General features: G+C 43.1%; 1 protein-coding gene and 1 long non-coding RNA gene across 6 annotated transcripts in view, besides 4 other annotated features; one reads left to right on the forward strand and one right to left on the reverse strand.

The window, feature by feature from the left end:
- The window catches only part of LOC105374040 (uncharacterized), a 61,639-nt gene extending 59,399 nt beyond the window's left edge, over nucleotides 1–2,240 (reverse strand). For both annotated transcript variants that reach the window (XR_924333.4, XR_001740850.3), the window contains exon 1: nucleotides 2,084–2,240. This is a non-coding gene — a long non-coding RNA (uncharacterized LOC105374040). The remainder of the gene's footprint in view (nucleotides 1–2,083) is intronic.
- Nucleotides 1–12,123, forward strand: part of PHLDB2 (pleckstrin homology like domain family B member 2) — a 244,022-nt gene that overhangs the window by 126,081 nt on the left and 105,818 nt on the right. The window contains exon 1 of one of the 4 annotated variants that reach the window (NM_145753.2): nucleotides 604–1,000. The exons of 1 other annotated variant lie outside the window; for it this stretch is intronic. The gene's annotated coding sequence lies outside the window, so the exon portion shown is untranslated. Of the gene's footprint in view, nucleotides 1–603; nucleotides 1,001–1,250; nucleotides 1,303–12,123 lie in introns of those variants that run through there. 2 more of the 4 variants (NM_001134438.2, NM_001134439.2) reach the window with 2 other exon arrangements.
- Nucleotides 511–1,097: an enhancer, noted in NCBI's record as "H3K27ac hESC enhancer chr3:111577934-111578520 (GRCh37/hg19 assembly coordinates)". NCBI's record gives its function as "activates a minimal SCP1, AML or CMV promoter by ChIP-STARR-seq in naive and primed H9 embryonic stem cells {active_cell/tissue: H9 hESC(naive and primed)}" and the evidence as "EXISTENCE:reporter gene assay evidence [ECO:0000049][PMID:30033119]".
- Nucleotides 1,098–1,682: an enhancer, noted in NCBI's record as "H3K27ac hESC enhancer chr3:111578521-111579105 (GRCh37/hg19 assembly coordinates)". NCBI's record gives its function as "activates a minimal SCP1, AML or CMV promoter by ChIP-STARR-seq in naive H9 embryonic stem cells {active_cell/tissue: H9 hESC(naive)}" and the evidence as "EXISTENCE:reporter gene assay evidence [ECO:0000049][PMID:30033119]".
- Nucleotides 1,147–1,206: a silencer, noted in NCBI's record as "silent region_14599". NCBI's record gives its function as "represses an Ori minimal core promoter by ATAC-STARR-seq in GM12878 lymphoblastoid cells {active_cell/tissue: GM12878}" and the evidence as "EXISTENCE:reporter gene assay evidence [ECO:0000049][PMID:35858748]".
- Nucleotides 2,013–2,122: an enhancer, noted in NCBI's record as "active region_20226". NCBI's record gives its function as "activates an Ori minimal core promoter by ATAC-STARR-seq in GM12878 lymphoblastoid cells {active_cell/tissue: GM12878}" and the evidence as "EXISTENCE:reporter gene assay evidence [ECO:0000049][PMID:35858748]".

Consider the following 12,123-nt stretch of genomic DNA (forward strand, 5'->3'; position numbering starts at 1 on the left):
AGTGACGGTATACTGAGTTCTGCTCATGGTGCCAAGTACTTTGCATATATTATTCAGAAGCTTATTAGCTGCCCTGCAGCACCAGTATCATTTATTGCTGCACTCCAGGTGAAGAAATTGTTGCTGGGAGCTACAACAACTTGCCCAAAGCCACAATGATCATAAGTAGTTTGCGCTTCGTTGTGCTCTTCTTTGCTGGTGTGAGATTCTCGAGGGCCAATGTCCTTCATCTGCGTAACTCTAGGGACTCGCCCAGACCTTGGAAGAGGTTCACATTCCCGCGTGCCGAGATTGATTATGGGCCACCCTCGGTCTCATTCGTTGACTTCCAATAAAGCATTGGCTGGTGGACCTCTACATCAGCATTGTTTTCATTGGATATAGCAACTCAGAAAAATATTGGGGAAAATATAAAAACTTTCAAGAGATATGATTGCAAGAAAATCAGAATGAGTTTAAAACCCTCCTGACCCCAGTCCTTAGCTCAGGCCGTTCTCCAAGGATTTTGCAAACCTGCTTTCTGACGCAGCTGGTAAACTTGCCCCGGGGCGAACTGTCGGAAGGAGGTGCGGTCACCTGGAGTTTCCCAATAGATACTTCGCTGTCTGGTGAGGAAATCATCACCCTAGGACGTAAACCCTCCCGCCCTTCTTTCAGCTCTTAAAAAAAGCCTGCCACGAAAGTCCCTACTGCGTTGCTGCGAACGTAGCTTTGAGAAGCTGGCGCCCAGTGATGGGGCAAACAGCCATGCCCTTCCAGCAGCCGTGAAAGCCCCAACAGCAAACTGCCTGGGAGCGGGGCAGGTCACCAACTTCGTTGCTCGAACTCCCTGGGTGCCCGCCGCGGTGGTTACAAAGGGGGTCAAGAGTGCCGGACCCAGCCGCGCGGAGCCCACCATTGCGGCCCGAGGGGGACCCGACGGGGGCCCGACGGTGTGGCGTGGCGCAAGGAGCGCGCCTGCCTTCTCTCGCCGCCGGGAACGGGCTGCACCAATGGCCAGGTGAGGAGGCGGCGGTGGTCGCCCGGGAGGAGGGGGTGGTGCCGACTCCGTGTGCCAGGAGTGCGTCCCGGGGACGCTGCCTCCCCCGCGGCCGAGTTGGTTGCCGCCGGTTGCGCTGCGGAGGGTTGGGGGCGGAGAGGAGGCAGTGGCTGCCCGGGCCGAGGAGGGGCGCGCTGACTGCTCACCGCGAGTCAGGAGGGGCCGGCGGGCTCACGGAGGGAGACAGGGTGGGCGGGGGCAAAGGCTAGGCGCTAGGGCGGCGGCGCCAGCGTAGAGCGGCGGTTTGGAGGAAAGATGAGACGGTGAGTGGGCTCCGGGGACACAGAGTTTCTTTGCTTCTTTACAGGCTGTAGGGACAAAAGCCCGGGCTGGGGTCGGCAGTGCCCAGGCTGCGCAGCTGGGTGGGTGGGGGTGGCGAACCCCGTTGTGCATGACTCTCGGGGGGCTGGGTAGATCTCCGGTTGAGGGGATCCCGGGGAGGGAGTGTCTGGTAGGGAAGATGCTTCCAGAGTGATTGTAGAAAACAGGCAGAATGTGGGGGAACTGGGGGCAACTTTTTCCAGCAACTCTGGAATGCACATGGAGAGAGGGATGGGGATCCTTGGGATAGCTCCCTGAGAAAGAGAAGGTCCGCTGCTGGATGGTGTAGGGCGCGGGATTCAGAGAAGACTCCCTCCCCGCAAATATTTGGCTAGCTGCGCTTCTAGTTCCACTTTCTTTCAAGAGTGAACCTACGAGCTTTAACCGCCAAAAGCGGCTGATTTCGATTTGGCCTTTGACCCCCCACTGAAAGTTTACAGTGTGGCCGTCTCGGCACCCCTAGAGATAGCAGCTGGAAGGCTTGGGGAGTATTTTAACCCTCTGTTTCTCCAGCTCCCTGCGCGGCGGAGGCGCAGCTGAATCGTTTGCTGGTTCGCTTAATAACTTAGCCCTAGCAGTCATCACTTATTAAAGCGCCGAGGACCTGGCTAACTCCCGCCACCACCAGGAAATTAAAAGGCTGACAGGCTGTCCCTCCCAGGGTTGGGGTTTCCTGTTTGAAAGAGCTTGAGAAGTCAAACTGCTTCGCGGTTCCTCACTTACCTTTCTTATGTAAAAGAGGGAGCGACGCCCGCAGCTTTTTCTCTCGGTAAACTACCCGTGGCTGGAAATCCTCCGGGCGCCTGGCCCTGCCCTCTTCCCTAGAAATCTTTATCCTGCAACTCTGAAGTAGCTCTAAAGAGCTCTAGAATGCACAACTAGTCATAGCCAGGCACAGCTGGGAGTGTAACTAGACGAGGCATAAAAATGTGGAGTCTTTTTAGTGTAAATATTTGTCAGCCACATTTCCCTTCGTAATATGAACGTGTAAGTTACAGATGTAGGTTTTCAAGTATTGGACGTGTAATTTTAAGCTTCCTAGTTTGGTTTAATTTGGGCGTTCGAGATATGTCTCTGGGATTCTAACGTTTGAATTCGGCTGGGAGAGATCTAAATGAGGTCCACAGTTTCAGAAGGTTAAACTTTTGCCCTGTGAACACTTGAATTCTTGGTTCCTGGTAGGTTAGCAACAGAACTGTCGGATTTGGGATAAATAAACCGTTAGAGTTGCCCACTATTTTAACAGAATGGCTATATCTCTCTTGCCGTTGCCTTCAATTGTGTAAATATTTGTTTGAATAAAGAGCGAAGGTTCTTTGAAAAGTAACAGTTCTGTCTATTCTTGGCTCCCCTTTCATATCCTCTGCTTAGTTATTTAAAAGGATTTTCTTTGCCTCTTACATTTAATGGGGAAATTTAAACATTACATGTACTTAAATTCTGTAAAGTTACCAAACCATTTATAACTGGCAAATTATTTAATGACAAGGAAGAGTTGAGTTTGTCGTCTTAGTTGGCTAATGTAGCCTTCATCTCTTGAGACCCAGAGGTTTGCAGATCTCAGCCTGTCAGAAGTGGAAAAATGAGATGTCTGGTTAAGAGTAGTCATCATTTCAGTCAATTTGCAGGCCTCAATCTGTTTTATGCAGCTGGCAGCTGCTGTTCTTTTGGTGTTGAGATCGTCTGCCACGAGTGTCGCCTGGATCCCTGTTTGAAAAGGGGAGGAAAAGATACTTGGGAAATTGGACTGAGAGCTTGCTTACTCCTCCGTTCAATAACTGTGACCAAGCTGAAACTCGTTAGCAACCTTTCCAGAAACGTTTTATTTACCATGTGTGTTTGTTGTGTATGCAAGAGAGGAAAAAATAAGCCAAAGTGATTAACCAATCTCTGGTTTTCCCTATTTTCTTCAAAGCTCCATTTTGAGATCTATAAGCAAGGGTTGACTCTCGAGTTCATTGGAGAAGTTACCTCGGCTCACTACAACTTCTGCCTCCTTGGTTCAAGCCATTTTCCTGCCTCAGCCTCCCGAGTAGCTGGGATTACAGGCGCCTGCCACCACACCTGGCTAATTTTTCTATTTTTAGTAGTGACAGGATTTTGCCATGTTGGTCAGGCTGGTCTCAAACTCTTAACCTCAGGTGATCCACCTGCCTTGGCCTCCCAAAGTACTGGGATTACAGGCATGAGCCACCACACCCGGTCTCCTTTTAAATATTTTTAAAGGAGTAGTTAACGTTATGGCTTTATATCCTGATTTTCAACCCTTAGCAGGGAGGCAGTGCTATGGTGCTGTGGATGGCTTAGAGTGACAGTGGCTTTGTACATTTTCTAGGTGGAGTACCTGTGCCTTATGAATCTATCTGTAAAGTCTTGGTGTACCAATTGTTGATTGTGTAAATGTCACTCTTTTGAAACAAAAACACCTAAGTGATGTGCTTTATCTTAAAGTCCTGACATACATTAGAGCTGTGGTTTTCACTGGGAGAGGGGTTTTGGCCCCCAGAGGATACTGGCAACGTATTTTTGGTTGTAGCAACTGACAGGAGGAGAGTGCTACTGCCATATAGTGGGTAGAGGCCTGGGATGCGGTTAAGCACCCTGCCATGCACGGGACACAAAAACAATTATGCAGCCCCAAACCCTGCACTACAGTATTGCCTGGGGGAGTAGGTTAACAAGATTAGGCATCTTAATCTGATTTGGATCCTCAAGAAACTTGTTTAACTGTGTTAAACAAGAGACCCTTATCATAGAAGCCGTTTTGTATGCAGCAGATTCTTTTGTCCTTGCCATTTAGAGTCTTAATATACCATAGAGGTCGAGGAACTTGTGTTCATTGACAACTTTGAGATGGATTAAAGTCATGGGATTTGGGAGCATTAGAGCACAAGGGAGCCTCAGAGATCACTTAATTTCTACCCCTTCTTTTTATAGATGTAAAAAACTGAGACACTCAGAGCTTTAGGACTCATAAGGTCTCAAGCGAGCTAAGGGCGGGCAGACAAAGTTCTAGGTACAACCCAGGAGTTAAAAATTTTAAAATAGAGATTCAGGCAAATGGGAACAAAAAACAAAACACACTGGACCTGACCTTGTGTAAAAGTTTCAAAGCACCATTCCCTGTGAGAAAATAAATAAATGCTTCGATGGGGGAGGGGTGGCATTAGCCATAGAGACTGTGGGGCACGTGCCTGGGTGCCCCAGTCCCAGAAAGGGGTAATTCCATTATATGACCTGTGACACTCCACTTCTGATGCCTGTACTGTCCTTTCCATGGCAAAGTAGGCAACAGATGGTTCCACAGACATAGCAGATGTTGCTTTTGAATCCAGGTACAAAACAGAACATTTGAGATTTTCTGTTCCTCCCTGCCTTATCGGTTAAGAGTAGAGTACATGAATGGATAGGGCTGGCTTGGACAGAAGGGAGAATTACAGAGGCCTCCTGAGTATGGAAGAAAAAAAGACACCTGGCATATATGGAAATGAGCAAGTGTTGGGGAAATTGTGGGAGAAATTCATAAGCTGATGAGGGGATATCTAATATAAATTCAATTGCATAGAACTAGGATTAAGAATCAGAAGACAATTCAAGCTTAGCTATTCTTTCAGCATGTAGAACAAAATAACTATGGGGGTAAAAGGAACCTTAGAAATCCTCTTATCTGAATCTTTTCCCTCCAACCAACTAACTGGGTTAGATAGCGGCAGAATCTGCAAGCCTCCTGTTCTATTGTACTTTCTCCTGCACCCACAGTCTCTACCATTCCATGTGTTTACCTAATGGGAAAGAAAATGATAGTAAAGAAAGTTATTGTTAATTACTTGGGAGAGTTTAAAAAGCATGGTATTTGTGAATGGCTGTTTATAGAAAGGAGTTACCTTAATGAGTTTATGATTATCAGAAAAGTTGTACACCATAGCCTGATTAATTACAAACATGTATACTCTCCTGTTTACATTGCTATGGTTAGCCATTAGGCTCATGATTATAGATTCTAGTTCTGGGTGCCAAGCTGTCCTCCTGTGGTAGTTATTTTATCTAATACTCAAATCTGACAGGTTCTGGCCATATAGGAAAGTTTTTAGTATGCCTTTGGTGGGAGACATAAAACCTCTGAAAAGTGTTAAGATAGTTTCTTATCATTTTGACAACTAGCCAAAGGGTGCACCTCAAAGCCAAGTACATAGTGATATATTTAGAAATGACTCAAGAGTGATAGCCCTTTTAAGGGATCTGCCCCCCCGCAGGTACTATGCAAAAGGGGTGTAGCAGTCTTTTCATTATCATCTTTCATCTGGCCATTCTTGTTACTGTTTTTCAGATGATGGGAGAGGAGACAGGAGTAGTTTTTAAAAAAATAACTGTTGGCTAGAAATATTTATTGGGATTTGATTAAAGTAACTTGTCTTTTAAAAATAAATGAAACCAAAATTGTTAGCTCAGATTTTCAAATCCCTTCAAAGTAAACATTTAGCAAGGCAGAACTTCTCTCTATGTTCATCCAGGAATTTGAACCTTCTGGGAGTTAATTTGCTTACAGTTGTTTTCATGACGCTTAAGGATGTTTCTTAGACATTGCAGAAAAGGAGCTTTGTGCTGTATCTGCTTTAAAGGCAAGATAGTTGTCTATAGCAGCTAGTGGTCAATAAGAGAAACCCAAGTGTAAAAATCATTTTACTGTTGTGTGGGAAACTAGAGGTTGTAGGTAATTGCTATACAAAGAAACAGATTAATAAGATATAGAGTAACAGGGTTAGTCAAAAAGTTTTTGAGAGGATTTTTACAGGAGATACTTGTTTAGTGTGTTAGGTTGATTTTATTAGATGAAGTGCTTTTCCTTACTTTACAAAGTAAAAGGAAAGAAAATATTGTGTATGCCACTGTTTATCGATGGCCTTAAGCCAGGTCAGCTTTTTCTGAGACTTGCTGCTAATTCAGTGGGAATTGGTGTTGATCATCTTAGAATGTTTTGTTTGCACATTGCATGTGACTGCCCTAGATGGCAGTATGTTCATGGAACTAGCCTATGAAATAGCAAAAAAGTTAAAGATTACAAGAGTTTTCCAAGATTTCTTTCTTGACCACCCTACTGCTAAAACAAGGAAAGATAAAGGCAAAAGAAACCCAGCTCCTACATTCTTTTGACCAGTGCAGACCCAGTGTGAATAGTGCCGCACAGCCAAGAGATATTCAGAGGGGATTGAGAAGTGATGTCTGGCTGCCTCACTGCTTACGTCATTGCAGAAGTAGCTTTTCAAAAACAGCTTAAGATTTATTAAGGAAACTGCAAGCCATGGGAATGCAGACAAAACCTTTCTTATACATCATGCTCAATCAAATACCCATATTATATTACATTACCATAACTCTGACCAGGCCTTTTTCCCACTATGTTATGCTAAAACAATTTACCATGCCTTTGGAATGTCATGGGCAACAGTCCGGTGAAATCTTTTCCCAATTAGGTAGCTGCCACCTTATCACTAAAACTATTTCTGTTCTGTGGTCATTTCCATTTCCTGCATTATGTAATGAGCACTCCTGTGTTATTTAACCAGTATCTGTGGGAGTCCAGAAAGTTGGAGCAGAAAGAACATGTAGTTCACTCTCACCATGTTGAGTATGGAGAAACTCCTGTTGAAACAAAATGAAGACAGGCGAATTGACGTGCTCCAGATCTTAGTTCTGTTAGCAGAACCAGAACTAAGATGGATCTTCTGACTTGCTTCCCTGGCAGCCTATCCAGTGTTCTTTCTACTAGATTGGCCACTGTAATAAAAATAACATCCTAACGTAACCATTTCCTTTATTAGATCTTTTGGCCAGAGTTATTAAAAAAAAAGCATTGATTAAAATTAAATTAAACTTAGTCAATTGTTTATCTTGACTTGTTCAAGTTATTTCCCTTCTTTCAAGCAGTAAGTGGTCAAAAGGTAGATAGCATGGAAGGGAAAAATTAAGTGTTTTATAATACTCATTCTGCACAATCAGCTGCTAAGTAATGAAGATATGATATTATCATAATTATTATTTTTACTTTACAATATTTTAGAAACCTACCCCACCCACTCATTTTTTTTTTTTTTTTTTTTTTTTGGAGACAGAGTTGCTCTGTCACCCAGGCTGGAGTACAGTGGTGCGATCCAGCTCACTGCAACCTCGGCCTCCCAGGTTCAAGTGATTATCCTGCCTCAGCCTCCCGAGTAGCTGGGATTACAGGCATGCACCACCACACCCAGCTAATTTCTGTACTTTAATAGTGATGGGGTTTCGCCATATTGGCCAGGGTGGTCTCAGACTCCTGACCTTTGGTGATCTGCCCACCTCAGCATCACAGAGTGCTGGAATTACAGGCATGAGCCACCGAGCCCGGCCTCATGTACTCAATTTGTGATGTAAAGCGAAATGCATTACAAACATGGAAGATGTGGTTGACCTGTGTTTGTTCCACCTCTTGTGAGCCTGTTTGTACCCTGACTATTCCCAGTTCATAAATCTTGGGTTAGGGAATGGGAATTCCAGCAAGTATTTAGGTCTGGGGAATGTTACTTTGGAAAAATTAAATATTACTCTTAAGGGAGTGTCTTTTGATCAGTAGTGTGGGATGGGGCAGGATGGCGGCAAGATCGGAGAGTTTCCCTCCCATACACTCTCCTCAGCTTCCAGTTAAAGTCCACGGAGGTGGTTTCAGGGTCAAGAGAGAGCATCTTTATCTACATATGATCCCCAGGTTGATAATTCTCTTGCTTGAAATTAGCTTTGAGATCAAAAGATCAGAGGGTGCTTTTCCCTGTAGCACTCCTGTGATTAAAGAAGAGTATCTGAAGTTAGTTATCCCATGATTCTGCACTTCACTGGGTGATTACGTAGTAAAGGAAGACCCTTCTAGCTTTACGGGGGACTTGATCAGGATCCTTGGTTAGGATTCTGTGAAGAACTTGACCTAAAGAGCTCCTCCACTCTCTTCCTTAACATAAGTTTCTAAGGGGTGTGTGTGTGTGTGTGTGTGTGTGTGTGTGTGTGTGTGTGTATTTTAACCTTTTAATTGAGGCTGGAATTCTTGATATGGAGGGTTTGACAGTTTTATGAAGAAATCATTATTTGGGCACGCAGTGGTGACACTTAGCTACCCCACATAACGTTATCTTGCAAATATCTTAAATGTGATGGCCTGCTTACTTGTTATCTTGAAAATGTATTTGCTTTCAAACTTCTCCCAGTTACTTAAAAATACATGTATCAGCTTTTAGGAACTTAATTCAGTATGATAAAGAGTTAGTATTTTATACTTAAAAAAAAAATCAGCTAGGAGCCAGTGATATGACCCCAACCTTCTTTGTAAAGTCAGCTACTATAATTTTTAAGGCAGTATACACATTTTATTGATGTTGACTTGCAGAATGCACGTAGCTTTTTTAAAAGATACTTTATCATGAAAAATATTAAACTACACAAAAATTTAAATGTATACTAAAATAATAATAAAATAATAAACAAAGATCAATGTACTTATCACCCAGCTTCAACAATTATTTATATATGCTAATCTTGTTTCATTTGTAAACCTCACTTTACCCTAAAACATGGATTGTTATAAAGCAGATTCCAAACATCATCATATTTCATTCGTAAATAATTTACAATGTAACTCTAAGAGTATTTTTAAGATATATCATCATCACACTTTTAAAAAACCACAGCATTATCATCTAGTTTCCAGTCTGAAATTCTCTGATTGTCTCATATGTCTTTTTTTAATTTTAATTTTTATTTTTTTGAGATAGGGTCTTGCTCTGTCACCCAGGCTGGAGTACAGTGGCACTATCTTGGCTTACTGCAGCCTTGGTTTCCTGGGTTCAACTGATCCTCTCACCTCAACCTTCCCAGTAGCTGGGACTGCAGGCTTGTGCCGCCATGCCTGGCTAATTTTTGTATATTTTGTAGAGATGGGGTCTCACCATGTTGCCCAAGCTGGTCTCGAATCCTGGGCTCCAGTGATCTGCCTGCCTCGGCCTCCTAGAGTGCTGGAATTACAGGCCTGAGCTACTGCTCCCAGCTCATACTTTTAAAAAAAAATGACAGGATCTTGCTGCGTCACCCAGACTGGAGAGCAGTGGCATGATCATGGCTCACTGCAGCCTTGCCCTCCTGGGCTCAAGTGATCCCCCTGCCTCCACCTCTGCCTCTCCGCCTCTGCCTCCTGAGTAGCTGGAAATACAGGCATGCACCACCATGCCTGGCTAATTTTTTAAATTTCTGTAGAGATGGGGTCTTGCTGTGCTGGTCAGGCTGGTCTCAAACTCCTAGGCTCAAGCAATCCTCATGCCTCGGCCTCCTGAAGTGCTGGGATTATGAGCCTCAGCCACCTTGCCTAGCTTCATACATTGTAAAAAATAGATGGATTGTTCAAAACAGGATCCAAAACCATGTCCACACATTGCATTTAATTGGTATGCGCCCTCAGTCTCTTTAATCGAGAATACTTCTCTCTTCCTCTTGTTTTTTTTTCCCCCTTGCCATTTGCTTATTCATGAGTCTTCCTCCCACCCCTGGGGACTTTCCCATATTTTAGAATTAGGTAATTGCATTTCTGTCTTTTTTTTAAAAAAAATATTATTCTCTTCCTTGTATTTTCTGTAATCACAGACAGCACACTTTTAATTTGTGTTGAGCTGAATTTATATATATATATATGTGTGTGTATATATATTTCAATACTTATTGATATTGTCTCCTTTAAATATTGGTAAAGCTCCTTTAACACAAATGTGAGCCTAATTGAAGAAATCACACCTTGATGATTTATGTAAAAGTAAGGAATTTTGCAAGTGTGAGGAAACTAATGACACAAAAGTTTATTGAGGTTGCTTCTGCTTTCTGTCCTCCCCCAACCTGTCCTCTTCACTGGCTGAAGAGAGTTATCACAGGGAACATGCAGCTAAATTACTTGCAGAGTCTAAAGAATATTTTAAAGTTCCTACAGACTAGTCTTACTCAAGGGACTAGCACAAAACTTTTTAAAAAATCCCTATGATTGATGGCTTACCCTCTTTACTAAGAGACCTATAAGATTTCTAACAATTCCTAACGTAAAACAATGTAGACTGATTTAAAAGTAGCCTCTGCTCACAGGAGATGAAGATCCTCATTTGAAATATGGTTATTGCTGTTGATTGTGATTACTTTTAGGAACCTTCGAATACCATCTGGAATTTTTTTTTTCTTCTTCTTCTTTGACAGAGCTCAGACTTCAATACAGCTAGGGATAACAGAAGGGAATCGTAGCCTGGGGTTACACTCTTTTATTGTGACAGGAAGAAGCTGGAACTTCTTTCATATTGTGCTCCACTCCTTCCATCTGCACTTAATGTTCTCATTATCCCCCATCACTCTCCACTTCCTTCTGGGCCCCTTTTCCCTCCTGTAGCATCCTTTGAGTCTTTTGTTCTTTCCCTAATGGTCTTCCTTACTTCTTCTTTTAGGTATCTTTAGAATATGATAAAGTAAAAATTCAAAAAAAAGAAAAAAAAAAGGAAAAGAAAGAAAAAGAAAAGCAAGAAAGCAACTGTGTAATCGGTGTCCTGAGATATCAAAGCCACATTCTGGTCCCCAGCGGCCCTCACCTTTCTCTCCAGCCCTGTCACCTGGTGAATTCCGAGGATGTGTCTTGTCTGAATTCTGAAGAGTCCCCATTAGCAGTCACAAAAAGCCTTTGTGTGTTTTAGACCACTGTAGGCATGTGGACAGCATGTGTGTCTGTCTCTGTGTGTGTGTGTGTGTGTGTGTGTGTCTACACACATTAGGATTTACAGCTGCCTGTTGTAATAGGTTCAGTCTGAAAGAATAAACAAGCCTCCTTATTTTGCCATTAAAATACATTTCTTCCCATGGAACTGCTTTGTTGGATCTTTTTGATAATTGTAAACATCCTCCTTGGAGAATATCCACCTACCTACATGTTTGTAGTGGGTAATAATTATTTTGTTCAAACAGGCAGGTCTTTGAGTGACAAAGAACATGGTGCAAAGGAAGAGGAGTTGGAATCCATTTGCTGCTGTGTTTATTTGCAAAACAGAACAATAAGGAGACTATGTCTACTAACAGGCTTTTTTCTCTCTCTGCTGTGAGATATAAAATCTTGTGTGTGGAGGAAGAGTTTAAAGGAACAGAGGTTAGAAAGCCAGGATGAGAGAGTGAGAGAAGAGGAAGTTCTAAGGAGACAGGTATTGAGACAGTGGGAAGGTCCAGGGTTATGGATGGCTGCAGAAGCTGTAGGGAATAGCATTGGAAGGAGAGAGGATCTGGGGCTGTTTGCTTAGAGGGGGGTGTTTGCAGATGAGTTTGGGGATATGTGGACAGGTGAGGGTTGTTTGCAGAGATAGAGGAGGTTGAGGAGGATATAAGAATGCAAGGAAATATTTGTGAAGTAGCTAGGTCTATTTGCAGAGGGGGAGTTGAGGGGACTAAGGGTTTAACTGAGGATGGTGTTTGGAGAACAGAGGATGAGGAAAATAAGCTGCTTTTTGACTTTTGAAATGAGAATATTGCTAGGAAGTGGTTGTTTCTGGAGCTTCTAATAATTAGCTCCCTCTTCCATGTGTTTTGATGTTGGGATTAGTGGAAAAAGAGAGAAGTTTTTGTGTCCATTGTTGTCCACTATAAAGCTTGGAGTTTCAGGTTGAACTAGATTTTTTTTTTCCTTCAATCCTCTGAAAGCTTCCCCTCAGGCCCCATCTGCTGCCATTGGTCACCACAGA

This window comes from Homo sapiens, chromosome 3, assembly GCF_000001405.40.
Source record: "Homo sapiens chromosome 3, GRCh38.p14 Primary Assembly".
NCBI classification, from domain to species: Eukaryota; Metazoa; Chordata; class Mammalia; order Primates; family Hominidae; genus Homo; species Homo sapiens.